The sequence below is a fragment of the Homo sapiens genome, chromosome 1, assembly GCF_000001405.40.
Source record: "Homo sapiens chromosome 1, GRCh38.p14 Primary Assembly".
Taxonomy (NCBI): Eukaryota; Metazoa; Chordata; class Mammalia; order Primates; family Hominidae; genus Homo; species Homo sapiens.
Genome location: NC_000001.11, coordinates 245,247,622 through 245,263,037, shown reverse-complemented (window position 1 = coordinate 245,263,037; position 15,416 = coordinate 245,247,622). Strand labels below are relative to the sequence as shown.

Sequence of the window (15,416 nt, the reverse complement as noted above, 5' to 3'; positions counted from 1 at the left end):
TACAAGGATGATGGTAATAACAAGAACAATGAATACTTACAGAATTTTTCTTATGTGCCAGGTATGGTTCTAAGTGCTTTAACATACACACATATGAACTAATGGGGATGAAGTTCTCTCCCTAACTAAACCCTAAACACTGGTTGGAATGTCACTGGTGTTGAGGCTGCATGTGAATAGAGCAGCCTGCTCTGTGAAATGAACATCTGTCTTTCATCCTTCTAAAAATTCCATTCTACTTCCAGAGAAAGACTCAAGAGTCTCTCATTAAGAACTCATTCCTGGCCAGGCGCAGTGGCTCACGCCTGTAATCCCAGCACTTTGGGAGGCCGAGGTGGGAGGATCACTTGAAGTCGGGAGTTTGAGACCAGCCTGGCCAACATGGAGAAACCACGTCCCTCCTGAAAATACAAAAGTTAGCCAGGCGTGGAGGTGCATGCCTGTAATCCCAGCTATTCGGGAGCCTGAGGCAGGAGAATCGCTTGAACCCCAGAAGGTGTGGGTTGCAGTGAGCCAAGATCGCGCCATTGCACTCCAGCCAGAGCAACAATAGCGAAACTCCATCTCAAAAAAAAATAAAAAACAAACAAATAAACAAAAAAAGAACTCATTCCCTCACTGCAGACTCTACCTGGAAAAGAAATTAAAAAGTGACGCACAGGTAGATGTTCAGAAGACCCGCCCCATGTCTTCCAATGTCTCTTAAAAGTCAGCAAGGAAGAAGCAGCTCTCACCAAGGAAATAAAATTGTATGCAAAGCAAAATCACAGGTAATCAAAATGAGAAGCCCCTGAACTTTTCTTCCATCAGCCGGACAGTTGCTTTCATAGTGGCTGTCTCCTATGTTCTGTACAATAATGATTCCTGTGTATTTCGGTGTATATATCACATGAGAAAAATAAGGCTCTCCAAAGACAAACACAAAGACATGCCCGATCTGTGTGTCAGCATGGGAATCAGAGGTAATAATGTGCTCGTCACACCTCAGTGCAGACAGGATATTTGAAAAATGTTAACAACACTTATCAGTGACCAAAGGAGCATGAGGCAAACTGCTGTGGAGAGAAATAACTCTAGTGTTGGATCCAGGGGCCATCGGTATCTCCCAGATTTTGGGCTTCTGCATGTGAAAACCATCAAGAAATACAAGGGTTGAGCCGGGCATGGTGGCGCACGTCTATAACCCCAGTACTTTGAGAGGCCAAGGTGGGTAGATTGCTTGAGCCCAGGAATCTGAGGCCAGCCTGGGCACATGGCAAAACCCTGTCGCTACAAAAAATACAAAAACTAGCCAGGCATGGTGGCGCATGCCTGTAGTCCTAGCTATAGAGAGGCTGAGGTGGGAGGATCACTTGAGCCCAGGAGGCAGAGGCTGCAGTAAGCTATGATCACGCCATTGCATTCCAGCCTGGGCAACACAGCTAGACCCTGTCTTGAGAGAAAGAAAGAAAAGAGAGAACGAGAGAAAGAGAGGGACAGACGGAGGGAGGGAGAGAGGGGGAGAGAGGGAGAGAGAGGGAGGGAGGGAGGGAGGGAGAGAGAGAGAGAGAGAGAGAGAGAGAGAGAGAGAAAGAAAGAAAAAGCAAGCAAGCAAGCGAGCGCGAACAAGCTGGGCGCGGTGGCTCATGCCTCTAATCCCAGCACTTTGGGAGGCCAAGGTGGGCGGATCACCTGAGGTCGGGAGTTCGAGACCAGCCTGACCAACATGGAGAAACCCTGTCTCTACTAAAAATACAAAATTAGCCAGGCCTGTAATCCCAGCTACTCGGGAGGCTGAGGCAGGAGAACTGCTTGAACCTGAGAGACGGAGGTTGCGGTGAGCCGAGATTGCACCATTGCACTCCAGCCTGGGCAACAAGAGTGAAACTCCATCAAAAAAGAAAAGAAAGAAAGAAAGAGAGAAAGAGGAAGGAAGGAAGGAACGGAGGAAGGAAGGAAGGAAGGAAGCAGGGAGAGAGGGAGGGAAGGAAGGAAGGAGAGAGAGAGAGAGAAAGAAAAGAAAGAAAGACAGAGAGGAAGGAAGGAGGGAAGGAAGGGAAGGAAAGGAAGGAAGGACAGGCAAGAGTTGACATCTGTGACTCTGTGATTGCATCTGTTAGCCAATCAGTCATCAATAAGCATCTACAGAGAGCTATGTCCAGAGTCCTAGGCTAAAAGACAAGAAGGCTATTGAGTTAATAATCTAATAACAAAGATACTGTGGCTGAAGTCCAGAAACTTAATGATGTGTGTCTGCAGTCGGGAGCTTGGTTCTGTCTGTGTGGGTTGAGCACCCACCCCATCCAGGCCCAGTACAAGGGAATGCCAATACAATTAAGACACAGATGCCAGCATGACATTTACACTTGGCAGAAGGTAACAGATGTGTGAGAAGTACTTCCCTCTTCCTGCCAGTCAAAGGAAGGAAATTCCACCAGGTGGTGTGAGCACTGACCGCAAACCGGTACACATGCCTCCAAAGTTGTTAATCCTATAGGCCTCGTTGAAATGCATGTATTAAACATGTTCTATTTATAAAATGTCAAAGTATACTTATTGCTTATTCCTTCCAGTTCCCTAGAGGGAGTCCAACACACTCACTTCTCTTCTTACAGGTACCTGAATCCCAGAAAAGGTAAGTGACCTGCACTTGGGCCAGGAAGTTAGCAGAAAGACTAGGATAAACCTCCAAGCACCTGCCATGGGTGCTGGCCACACTCCATATCTCAGTACTGCACTGGCCTGAATTACATTATGCTCTTCAGTGACAGAAAGGCCCAAGAATGTTGCATACTTACAGATTAACCAGCACTGTTTCCTGATTCTGCAGGCCACGCTTCTACCGAAGCCTATGGGAAATGAAGGGAGGGGCAGGCAAACAGCCCACTGAGAGAGTCCAGCTTCTCACCATCAACTCCACCAGTGTTCTGTTACCTCCTCTCCTTGCCTGGCTCATCAGGCTCTCCTCCGACCCCATCCCACCAAAAAAGCAGCAGGAGGTACATCCTTTCACCTCTCAGATAAATGAACAGCATCCTGTCCCACTATGCTATGCCTCAGTTGTGCCACACTTCAAGAAACTCAGTAGAGAAAAGCTCACCTTTTTTTTTTTTTTTTTTTTTTTGAGACAGGACCTCGCTCTGTCACTCATGCTGGGGTGCAGCAGTGCAATCTTGTCTCACTGCAGCCTTGACCTCCTGGGCCTAAGCAATCCTGCTGCCTCACCCTCCCAAGGAGCTGGGACTACAGGTGCATGCCACCATATCTGGCTAATTTTTTTTGTATTTTTTCCAGAGACAGCATTTTGCCATGTGGCCCAGCCTGGTCTTGAACTCCTGAGCTCAAGCGATCTGCCCACCTTGACCTCCCAAAGTGCTGGGACTGCAGGCATGAGCCAGCCTGCCTGGCCAAGCTCACCCTGTCCATTAATTATCAACATTCAAGAGGCTTCTGAACATCATAGGAGGTTGACTAGCAGGTTCTCAGTGGGTGAAGTTTGCTTTTAGTGACCAGGCACAACCAAACCCAGTATTCTCTCCCCTGTTCTTTAGTATCAGCATGCTCACTTCCTCCGGCCTTATTCTCTAGAATCATGACAACTGATCTGACAAGGGTATTTATGTTCATTGAACTGGCCCTCACAACCCTGCCTGGTAACACGTGTGCATTTCAGCGATGGAGCCTCAGTCCTCACCGTCCAATGGGAAGGGATGTGGTGGGGCGGGGAGGCCAGTGAGATAAGACATTGGATATCATGATTACTCCATCTCTATTCCTCAGTCCGCACCACCTAGGCAGGCACTGTTGGGGCTAAGCTCCAACAAATGTACAACAATGAAGAGATAATAATGTACAAAAATGAACAGAAGAACTGAGTGGGGAAACACCTTAAGAAATCACCCATTCCAAAGCCACTTCTTTCAGTGATAAGCAGAATGCAGCCAGCACTGCCATGTAACTTCCCATACCCACCCAGCTAGGGGCACAGCTTGAGGTCTAACATCTCCCAACCCATGGAGCAGGCTCAGCGCCTGGGGGGCTGTTGCAGAAACTGGACTGGCACACATGTTGCACGAAGCGAGGGGCACCTGTGATTTTTATGTGGCCTTGCTTTTACTCTTCATGCCAGAGGCCGATCAGCATGCCACACACTGCAGAGGGCTCACGCATGGGAAAACCGGAGCGGAGATGGGTTAAGCAACCTGGCAGACACACGGTGAGTCAGCAGCCATCACTTCTGCCTCTGCCTCCCAGCCACTTGCTCTCACCCCCGCCCGTGGGTCCTGCTTGTTCTGATTTCATGCCCCCCCACCATGCTGTGCTCCTGTAGCTGCCTTGCTATGGTTATCCTTGGCAAACCCCAGTGTACTGTTACCCCAGGCCCGGGTCAGATGCTGTGAGAAGGCTCTTGGAATGAGACGCCACAGCTCCACGCAGAGCAGGTGGAATTTGGAAAGGGGCCAGTTGCTAATCACAGTAAGACAAACTTTCATTTTAGTCTCTATTTTATGGATCCCATTTGTTTACCTGCTCATTTTTGCAGGTTAGCCAGGAATGAGCTTTGATCCTGCTCCAATACCAACACCACTGTTTGCCCACGGCATTCAGCAAAGGAAGCTTGGTGAGAGAGGCAGGTCAGAAATGAGCTCCTGCTTTGGGTCCCCAGGGCACCCAGGCCTCCTCCCGCATGCACTCTGGTACCTGAAGTTCACATCTCACGGGGCCCCAGAGGCCCAGTATGGTTGTTTGTCTCTTCTGTGTCAGACCTGCCTTTCAGTGGGATGGACAGCAGCTCCTAGAAGGGGCTCTGTCTTACACCTCTGGACGCTGGGGCTTCATGTACAGCGAACTCCATAAACACCGTAGGTGGTGACGAGGAGGAGGAAATCATAATGAAAGCAAGGTGATGACAAACTCAGCACTGTCTAGAACAGTAGCCACGTCAAGCTCCCTAGGACCCCAGGCCTGGGCTGCTCTCAACTCACCACCGGAGAATGTGACAAGATCGAGAAGCTTCTGAGCAACATTTTTTTTTTTTAAGACAGAGTCTCACTCTGTCACCAGGCTGGAGTGCAGTGGCATGATCTCAGCTCACTGCAACCTCCGCCTTCCCGGTTCAAGCAATTCTCCAGCCTCAGCCTCCCGAGTAGCTGGGATTACAGGCATGTGCCACCATGCCCAGCTACTTTTTGTATTTTTAGTAAAGATGGGGTTTCACCATGTTGGCCAAGCTGGTCTTGATCTCCTGGCCTCAAGTGATTCGTCCACGTTGGCCTCCCAAAGTGCTGGGATTACGGGTATGAGCCACTGCACCCGGCCTGACCAACTTTCTTGATCACAAATATCTACCCCTGTCCTCTGCCACCTAAGCAAGGGCCACTGTGATGCTTCTAGACACGGGAGGGCTTTGGTGGGAAGCTATTTCTCCTGTCCAGCCTTCCTCCAGGCTGATGTGCAGCAAAGCTTTTCACACGACGGGCCCTGAAGAGTAACTCGTTTAACGACAAAAATTCAAGGACCATGGAGAAAAGTGTTCCAGTCTCTTCCCACTCATTGAGAGGTGAGCTGAGATGACATTTCAGATGCCCACACACGTATTCCCTCGAGGCAGGGGATATCATCTGTCAATCCCATGTAAACAAAAGGAGTCAAACTCTGTAAAATGTTTGAAGAGACTTATTCTGAGCCAAATATGAGTGACCGTGGCCTGTGACACAGCCCCAGGAGATCCTGAGAATGCGTGCCCAAGTGGTCGGGCTATAGCTTGGTTGTATACATTGTAGGGAAACACAAGAGGTCAATCAATACATGTAAGATGTACATTGCTTTGGTCCTGAAAGGCAGGACAACTCAGAGGATTGCTGAGGGGGTTCCTGGTCACAGGTGGATTCAAACACTTTCTGATTGGCAATTGGTTGAGTTTATCTAAAGACCTGGAATCAATAGAAGGGAGTGTCTGGGTTAAGATAAGGGGTTATGGAAACCAAGGTTCTTATTATGCAGATGAAGCCTCCAGGTAGCAGGCTTTGGAGAGAATAGATGGTAAATGTTTCTTATCAGACTTCAAAAAGTGCCAGATTCTTAGTTAATTCTCTACTGGATCAGGAAAAAGACCTGGGAAGGGAAGGAGATTCTCCACAGAATGTAGATTTTCCCCACAAGAGACAGCTTTGCAGGGACATTTCAAAATACATCAAAGAAATATATTTTGAGGCAAAATACTTTTATTTCTTTTGGGGCCGGCTATCTGTCAAGTTGGTATCTCATTGCTACAAAGAGTCCGCTTTGTCAGTCTGAAGTCTCTATTTTAATGTGAATGCTGGTCAGCTGTGCCTGAATTCCAAGGGGAGGAGGCTGTAATGGAGGCACGTCCCACAGCCCATTCCCATCACCGCCTGGATTAGCATTTCAGGCTGACTTTAGAATGCCCTTCGCGGAGAGGAGAGGTCCATTCAGTTGGTTGGGGAGCTCAGAATGTTATTGTTGGTTTATACCCACCTGGGTCTTACAAAAAGTCAACCAACTCTCCTAAAAGTGGGGAAGGCTGAGCAGCACTGGCCAGGGGCAAGGACACAGGACCTCAGCACTGCAGCCCTCAAGGGCTAACCTTGGCCTCAGCTTCCTCATCCGGACGATGGGGCTGTTGGACTCAGGGAAGATGAAGGTCCCTTCTAAATCTAACATTCAACATTTTGCTTCCAGGTGTCCTGAGACAATGTGCACATCAGCTTCTTGTTTGCAGCTAGTACATGTCATGGACCCAGGTTACGTAAAGTCAACTCAGGATTTGATGTCAAATCCCAAAATGTTAGCCATATTCCTGGTCTGCAGCAGGGGTGACCTGGGAGCCATTTGAAGAGAAGGATCTTAGATTTTACAGATGAGAAATGTAAGACCTTGAGACGTCAAATAGCTTGTTCGAAGTCACACAGCTGAGAAGGGCATACCCAAATCCCGGCCCTTTCCAGCACAAGGCAGGTAGGAAGGAGGGAGGGTAAGCAGCAGAACACCAAAGGCAGAAACCAATAAAAAGGAAGGAAAACTTCCTTACAGTGGCTTTAAGTGACTCATTTAATCTCTTCATGCTTCCTCATTTCTACTTCTCAAGGAAGTATTTCAACCATTTACTAACTTTAAGTACCATGAAGGAATGGGTTATGTGAAACCAAAGAAGAACCATGTCTAACAATTTAGAAATTGCTACTCTCTGGGCAAAAAAATAAGAATACATTAGTGGTACCATCTTGTTAAAGGGAAAAAAACAATTTCCATGTCCCCAGATTTTCTTAAATGGTTTTTATGTGAGATTTTGCATCTATAATATACTGCTGCCTTCAAGAGTTTGTTTTAACTCTCAGAACAGGAATATCTCAAAAGAAGACAAACTGATTTTTGTAAGAGAGCCTGGCAGCACTGCCTTCTGGATCTGCCTTTACAGCACGAAGCCACTGGGTCAGCTCATGTGTGGGCAGTGGGTTGTAAAGGGCTGTGTAATCGTACCAAGCAAAAAACATACAAATCACATGATGTACAAAGTGCTTTTGAGAATGAGCATGTGAAAATAAGGGAGGGCTCTCCAAAAGGAAAACTCACAACCTGACCATGTTTCTGATTTCAATCTAAATGGGTTTCACACAGCTCCAATCAGGAATCTCAACAGGAATGTTCAGAGACTTCTCCTCCAAAGGACACTGGCTGTAATGAAGCTGGACACTTAGTTGATTTTGGCCGGTGGAGAGATGGATAGAGGGTGTGTTGGCCCATGTTGCGCTGCTATAACACAATACCTTGGACTGGGTAATTTATAAAGAGCAAAAACTCATTTCTTTGCAGTTCTGGAAACTAGGAAGTCCAGGATCAAGAAGCCAACATCTGGTGAGGGTCTTCTTGCTGGGTCATAACATGGTGGAGGGCATCACATGAACAAGAGAGAGCAAGAGAAGGAGGCTAACCTCATCTTTTTATCAGAAACCCAAGATAATTCCCAAGATAATGACATTAATCCATTCATGAGGGCGAGTCCTCACCACCTAATCACCTCTTAAAGGTCTCACCTCTTAACACTGTTACGGAGGATGAAGTTTCCAACATGTGAACTTTCAGGGACACATTCAAACCACAGCAGAGGGAATGTTTACTTTTAAAGTAAAAATAGGGTTCGTTTTTGTTAAGAAAATGGAATTGCTATGTCATAAGCCATGCTCCTGAAAGGTATACAGTTCCAAACCTGAAACAGGCATGGCAAAAGCCCACACAAGAATAGCTGCCTGCATAGCCCCCAGGGTACAGCCCTCTTGGAATGCACTGGCAGCAAAGGACACGGGCCTCATGTGGGGCATCAGAACAGCTCCACAAAAAATTACATGTGATGTCATAGCACGTAACTGAGATCAATAAAAGGGGAAGACGTATTTCCTCCCCAGTCACTCTTCCCCCAGAACTAAGAACCTGCCATTCTTATATGCACTTTTGGAAATCTCCACAAGTATCTTTCAATAGGAACTGCTCAGACCCAAAACCTGAGCTCATCATTTCAGCCAGGATGCCTTTCAAAAATAAGTCATCATTCGAAAAGAATGTGTTATTTTTCCTTTAGCAAAAAGGAAAGCCCTCCTCCCCCAACCCCCTTTGTTAATTTTCATAGAATCGCCTTTACCCTCCCCCTGTAAAACATGAGGAAATTCCAATTTTTTGCTCTGGAAAGTTACAACGCCTGAGTAGTTCTGGGTACGATATCCAGCAGAAATTACTATATGTCTACCATGTGCCCAGCACGGCCACTTATGCCACCCTATCCATGGGACATATGCAACCTAATAAAATTCTAGAAATAAAGTTAATCAGAAAGAAAAACTACTGCTAAAGTCAATGCGTTACAGGTCATCTTCTCAGTAAATATTGAATGATCTAGAAAATGCCCATAATGTTAAAGAAAAAAAACAGCACTTCAGCTGGGTGCAGTGGCTCACGCCTGTAATCCCAGCACTTTGGGAGGCCGAGGCGGGCAAATTACGAGGTCAGGAGATCGAGACCATCCTGGCTAACACGGTGAAACCCCATCTCTACTAAAAATACAAAAAAATCAGCCGGGCGTGGTGGCGGGCGCCTGTAGTCCCAGCTACTCGGGAGGCTGAGGCAGGAGAATGGCGTGAACCCGGGAGGTGGAGCTGGCAGTGAGCAGGGATCGCGCCACTGCACTCCAGCCTGCGCAGCAGAGCGAGACTCTGTTTCAAAAAAAAAAAAAAAAAAAAAAAAAAAGCAGGACTTCAAAGTCTATAGACAGGAAAATTTAAAACAAAATTTTTTAATCTATATATAATTTAAGAATAAATATAAAAACTGAAAAGTCCTATAACCATTTTAAAAAATTAAGTTAGTAGTTCAAAATTGACACATGAATAATCCCCATGTCCAAATGCCTTTAGAGACAAATCCTACCAAACTGTATTAATCCAATCTTACGTAAACTCTTCAGAGAGTAGAAAAAGAGGAAACATACCCCAACTTATTTCCTAAAGCTAGTATCACTCTGAAACCAAACTAAATGAAGGGAGTGCAAGAAAAGAAAATTATAAGCCACATTCACTAGCAAACAGATGTGAAACTTCCAAATGAAATGTTAGCAAGTCAAATCCAGCAATATATTTTAAAATAATAATAATGACCAAAGCATCTTTGATGCAAATAATATAAAAATCATTTAACACTAAAAAAATCTCTTAATGTAACTCCTACATTAACATATTAAGAGGCAGGGCCCAGTAGCTCACACCTGTAATCCCAGCACTTTGGGAGGCCAAGGCGGGCAGATCACCTGAGGTCAGGAGTTTGAGACCAGCCCGACCAATATGGTGAAACCCCATCTCTACTAAAAATACAAAATTAGCTGGGCTTGGTGGTGGGCGCCTGTAGTCCCAGCTACTCGGGAGGCTGAGACAGGAGAACTGCTTGAACCTGGGAGGTGGAAGTTGCAGTGAGCCGAGATCATGTCACTGCACTCCAGCCTGAGCGACACAGCAAGACTCCGTCTCAAAAAAAAAAAAAAAAAATTAAGAAAAAAATTATCACCTCAATGGATGTAGAGAAAACATTTCATAAAATTCAATTCTGATTTATGAAATTTAAAAAATATTAGCAAACTGGGACAAAAATTTCCTGACCTTGATAAAGCATGTGTACCCATATCACACAGTGAACATCATACTTAATGGCTAAGTGATAGAAGCAGTCCCTTACAAAACTTAGAACTGACAAGGATTCCCACCATCATTACTTCTATTCAACATGGTTCTAGAGACCCTAGCTAGAAGAATATGACAAGAAAAGTCAATAAGAGGAATTAGGATTAAAAAGAAAGAGACATATTATCTGCAATTATGACAAAAGAGTCATAATTGCAGACATATTATCTGCAATTATGACAAAAGAGTCATAATTGCAGACATGATAATCTACATGGAATATTCAAGAGGATCCACAAGGTATTAGACTTAATAAAAGAGTTCAGTTTGTTATATATCTCATTAATAGTAAAAACCCATACAGGTCAACAGCAATCAATCAATTAGAAAATGTAAGTTTTAAAAAGAACAATCCATTCACAGTAACAAATAATAACCCTAAAGTACCTAAGAAGAATTCCAACAAAACATGTTAATGTCTTTATGGAGAATATAAACATTTACCGAAAGGTAATAAAGAAAACATACATGAATGAAGAGCTATATAATATGTTCATATATGGGAAAACCAATTTTCTTTTTTCTTTTTTTTTTTTTTTTTGAGACAAGGTCTCACTCCTGTTGCCCAGGCTGGAGTACAGAGGTGCAATCTTGACTCATTGCAGCCTCAAACTCCTGGGCTCAGGTGATTCTCCCACCTCAGCCTCCCTAGTAGCTGGGACTACAGATGCGCACCACCACATCCAGCTAATTTTTTGTATTTTTAGTAGTATTTTTAGCAGAGACGGGTTTTTACCACGTTGCCCAGACTGGTCTCAAACTCCTGGGCTCAAGTGATCTGCCTCCCAAAGTGCTGGGATTATAGGCATGAGCCACCAGGCCAAGCCAAGACCAGATATTTGTAAAGATGTAAATTATCCTTACATTAATCTAAAAATTCCAAGCAATTCTGACAGAAAAATTCATATACATTAATCTTAATATATATTAACCATATATATATATTTTTGGCAGAACTTGACAAGCCAGTCATAAGAGCCAAGAATCAATAAGACAAGGCAGGGGACAATTTATGCTATTAAATATTAAGATTTATAAACTCAATTAAATGGTGTGGAATTTAGTTCAGAGATAGATAACACAAACAGGAGAACTTGGTATGCCAGAGGAAGCATCACAAATCCATGAGGATATGATAGACCATTCAATAAACAGTGCAGAAACAACTGGCTACTTCTATGCCAAAAATGATAAATGAGATTCATATCTTTTACCAGTCACAAAAATAACCTCCAGTTAGGTTACAGTCTTAAATACAAAAAGGAATGTGTTAAAATTATTAGAGAAAGATATAAGGAGCTACCTTTATGAATGGGGTAGGCAAGGATTTTTTTGCATGATATTAAAATTATAAAGCGTTGAAAAAGACAGATATTACTGCTGGATGAGCAAAAGACAATATAAACACAGATTAGGAGAAGATATTTGAAATGAACATAACCGTGCAGAGAAAAGTTAAAATTAGAAAGTTAGAAGACCTGCCTGCAAGGTTGACTCTTGGCTGGCATCTGAGAACTTAAGATTTCAGGAGGGTTCCTACCATTCCTAGAACTGGTAAGAGTGACTCACTGTGCCTAAATATTTGTACAAATAGTGTGGTTTATGCTAAACACCTGCTTACCTTCTGAGAATCTGGAATTTGGGTACAGGCAAGGCAGAGAGGTTGCCTATATAACCAGCCCCCAACAAAAACCTTGGTCCCTAAGTCTCTAATGAGCTTTCCTGGTAGACACACTTCACACCTGTTGTCATAATGTGATGCTGGGGAAACGAAGTGTGTCCTATGTGACTGGAGAAGACTCTTGGAAGCTTGCACGTGGTTTCCTCTGGACTCCACCCTCTGTGCCTTTTCCCCTGGCTAATTTTGCTTTATATCTTTTTACTGTAATAAGTCTTTGCTGTGAGTAGGACTATAGGCTGAGCCTCTTGAGCAACCTAGTGAGTTACTGAGCCTAGAAGTGGTCTTGGGAACCCCCAATACGATAACAAAAGATTTACATTCAAATATCCTAAAATTCAATTACAATAATGGACACAAATAAGACAATACAATGAGAAAAAACACGGGCAAAGAAAATGAATAGGCAATTCTTAAAAGAGAAAACTCCCATGGTCAATAAAACTATGAAAAGATGTTCCATCTCAAAACAAGAAAACATCGTTTTATCCTCATCTGAGGATGGCAGGATTTTAGAATCTGAAAATATGGAATGGTAGTGAGATTTGCAGAGAAGCCATTTTGGAGAACAAACTGGCAACATCTAGTTAAGCTGAAGACTATGTATGTGTCCTGTGAGCCAGCACATTACATGACCAAGACAGGTATGAAGAGTTACTTGCACAAGTTTATTATAGCACCGCTTGTAACAGTGTCCATCACAGGAAGAAAAGCTAAGTAAATCAAGGTACAGTCATTCATCAGAAAGTTATACCACAGTTCAAATAAACCAAATGGATAGATAAATCTTGAAACTGTCAAGTTCTCAACTGATATGTGGAGCATCTTACCATATTAAATAATTTTAAAGCATACAAAATATACGGTATTGTACTTTACTATATATAATACGCCTACCTACAAAGAGATGTAGGTACCCATAAAAGTATGTAGGAGGCTAATTTTGGTTATCTCTAAGGAAAAAGAAAGTGCAACAGGATGGAAAGAAGAGGGAAATAAGAAGCCTTCGACAATAATGTTTCTATTAAAAAACACATCTGAAGAAAGTATGTCAACATGCTAAATATGCATGAAAGCTACACGGATCATGTTATATTATTTCCTATAGATTTAAATTTTTTAATATGTTTCATAATTTTTAAAATTTGATAGATATTTGGAGGATAATTTTTAACACAGATATTAAGTGGGAAAATAGGATTTCTTCTGTCTCGTGGTATAACAATTTATAGATAATCTAGGTAAGGTTGCCTTCAGATCAAATGTTAATATTATTCTAACCTGTCCTGGACAAACTCCAAAACAAAGCAATGCTTCCCAGATCAGTTCTGTGCATTCAGTATCCAAAATAAATTGCATTTTGATGCAGTGGCTCACGCCTGTAATCCCAACACTCTGGGAGGCCTAGGAAGGTAGATCACTTGAGCTCAGGAGTTCCAGACCAGCCTGGCCACCATGGTGAAACCCCATCTCTACTAAAAATACAAAAGTTAGCCAGGCGTGGTGGTGGGCACCTGTAGTCCCAGCTACTAGGGAGGCTGAGGCAGGATAATTAACCCGGGAAGTGGAGGTTGCAGTGAGCCAAGATCATGCCATTGCACTCCGGCCTAGGCGACAAGGTGAGACTCAAAAAAAAAAAAAAAAAAAAAATAGATTAACACATATGCACAAACAAGGGAGCCGACACAATGTCAATTGTTGTGAAACAGGAATTCTGTTTGGCCATTAAAACTCATCTTGTGGCTGGGCGCGGTGCCTCACACTTGTAATCCCAGCACTTTGGGAAGCCAAGGCGGGCGGATCACAAGGTCAGAAGATCGAGACCATCCCAGCTAACACAGTGAAACCCTGTCTCTTCTAAAAAATATACAAAAAATTAGCCAGGCATGGTGGCACACACCTGTAATCCCAGCTACTCAGGAGGCGCTTGAACCTGGGAGGTAGAGGTTGCAGTGAGCCGAGATCATGCCACTGCTCTCCAGCCTGGGCGAAAGAGCAAGACTCCATCTCAAAAATAAACCAAAAACAAACAAACACACAAAAATCACCTTGCTCCACCTGTTATAGACAGCTGCCACATTACCTCCTCTAACACTGCTTCACTTGCCCCCTGCCTTACTCAGCTAAAGCGAACTCACTTTCTTTGTTCTTATTTCAAACCTCTCTCTAAAAAGGCAACCTGCAGGAGTTTCTCCAGAGATATAAAATCTCCATGAAGGCTCCTTCAATACACAAGACAACAGAACATATTAAGTATATTCACATCCCACTGACTGGTTTCCACTCGGAGGTACAGACTGATTTACACTTGATTTCCTCGATCCATCATTTTCTGGCTATTTCCATAGGAGAATATATGTCAGAGATATTGGCAAACATCTCAGATGGAAAAGAAGAAATAAACTCACAAATCAAGTTCAGTTTAAACTACCGTGGGGATAATCACGTGTTCGCTTAAAGAGAGATTTTACGAGGAGGTTTAACCATAAAAGCGACAAAGTGTTATCGGAGCCTGCTGTGAAGAGCACGTGGGCTCATTACGATTTAGTTCTTGGCGTCAACAATCTTCATCACAGCAGAGCATGCAAAAGCAAGAGAGTGTCTGTGACCATGATTAATAGTTAGTGGATTTGGTGAGGATTGTTCCCAAGTTCAGGAAGTAACCAGAGTTCAGTCTCTGGCCAAACCTGTGTATCTTCATACAGGAAATGCTGTTCTAGGACAGTTACGGAAGCAGAATGCAACTCTGGAGGAGTGTGAGAAATCTAGAAGGTAAGCGTGCCTTCTCACGGGCAGGCGGAGGCATGCCAGGCGCCCTCAGTGATGCCGTGCTGAACGCTGGCTCTCAGTCCTCTGACGGCAGCTCCCTGCAAAAAGTCCTTCCACTGTCCAGACAGCGTTCCAGCTAATACTGCTGAAGTTCCCAAGTAGGTCGCCGTGTCTTTCTCAATGTGCTCAGTTATTTTGGGGTATAAAAGTATACTACCAGCATTTTTATCACACCGAGGGAAAAAAAAAAAGCAATGCATCTTAGCTGTAAGGCTCAGACTCACCCAGGCTGTTGAGCATAATGAAGCCATTTGGATGTGCACGGCCGTGTTGGCACTGTTGGTGCTGTGACTGATAGAAGTAGTTTTCCCTCATCTTCCCTTATCACCCAGTGAGACTGAGGACCGGAACCAGGGCTAACACGGGCTCTGGTGAGCTGAGGGCATCTGCTGCAACACTTCCCTGCAGAGAAGTTCAGAAAGGTACAGAGAGCAAAAGAAAAAATGGCCAGGATTTCTGCAGAATGTCACGATAAAATAGTGGTTGAGGCCACGAGGCTCCTCTCTGTTCCCTCTTCTCCAAACAGATGACTTAATTGTTCTGGGGCAAGGCCTGCCTTCTAGTTTAAGAGATGGCTGATAGTTCTTCAACATGTCTTCATGATTTTCCTAATACACCCAAAATCTAGTTTCCAGCCTTCAGGACCCTGCAAGTCTGCTCTGCATCCCTCGGGCCCACTTCCTCTTACT

General features: G+C 44.1%; 1 protein-coding gene across 1 annotated transcript in view, besides 3 other annotated features; it reads right to left on the bottom strand.

The window, feature by feature from the left end:
* The window catches only part of KIF26B (kinesin family member 26B), a 554,448-nt gene that overhangs the window by 446,395 nt on the left and 92,637 nt on the right, over window positions 1-15,416 (bottom strand). The window lies entirely within an intron of this gene.
* Window positions 3,680-4,547: an enhancer, noted in NCBI's record as "H3K4me1 hESC enhancer chr1:245421793-245422660 (GRCh37/hg19 assembly coordinates)". NCBI's record gives its function as "activates a minimal SCP1, AML or CMV promoter by ChIP-STARR-seq in naive H9 embryonic stem cells {active_cell/tissue: H9 hESC(naive)}" and the evidence as "EXISTENCE:reporter gene assay evidence [ECO:0000049][PMID:30033119]".
* Window positions 5,416-6,283: an enhancer, noted in NCBI's record as "OCT4-NANOG-H3K27ac-H3K4me1 hESC enhancer chr1:245420057-245420924 (GRCh37/hg19 assembly coordinates)". NCBI's record gives its function as "activates a minimal SCP1, AML or CMV promoter by ChIP-STARR-seq in naive H9 embryonic stem cells {active_cell/tissue: H9 hESC(naive)}" and the evidence as "EXISTENCE:reporter gene assay evidence [ECO:0000049][PMID:30033119]".
* Window positions 6,284-7,153: an enhancer, noted in NCBI's record as "OCT4-NANOG-H3K27ac hESC enhancer chr1:245419187-245420056 (GRCh37/hg19 assembly coordinates)". NCBI's record gives its function as "activates a minimal SCP1, AML or CMV promoter by ChIP-STARR-seq in primed H9 embryonic stem cells {active_cell/tissue: H9 hESC(primed)}" and the evidence as "EXISTENCE:reporter gene assay evidence [ECO:0000049][PMID:30033119]".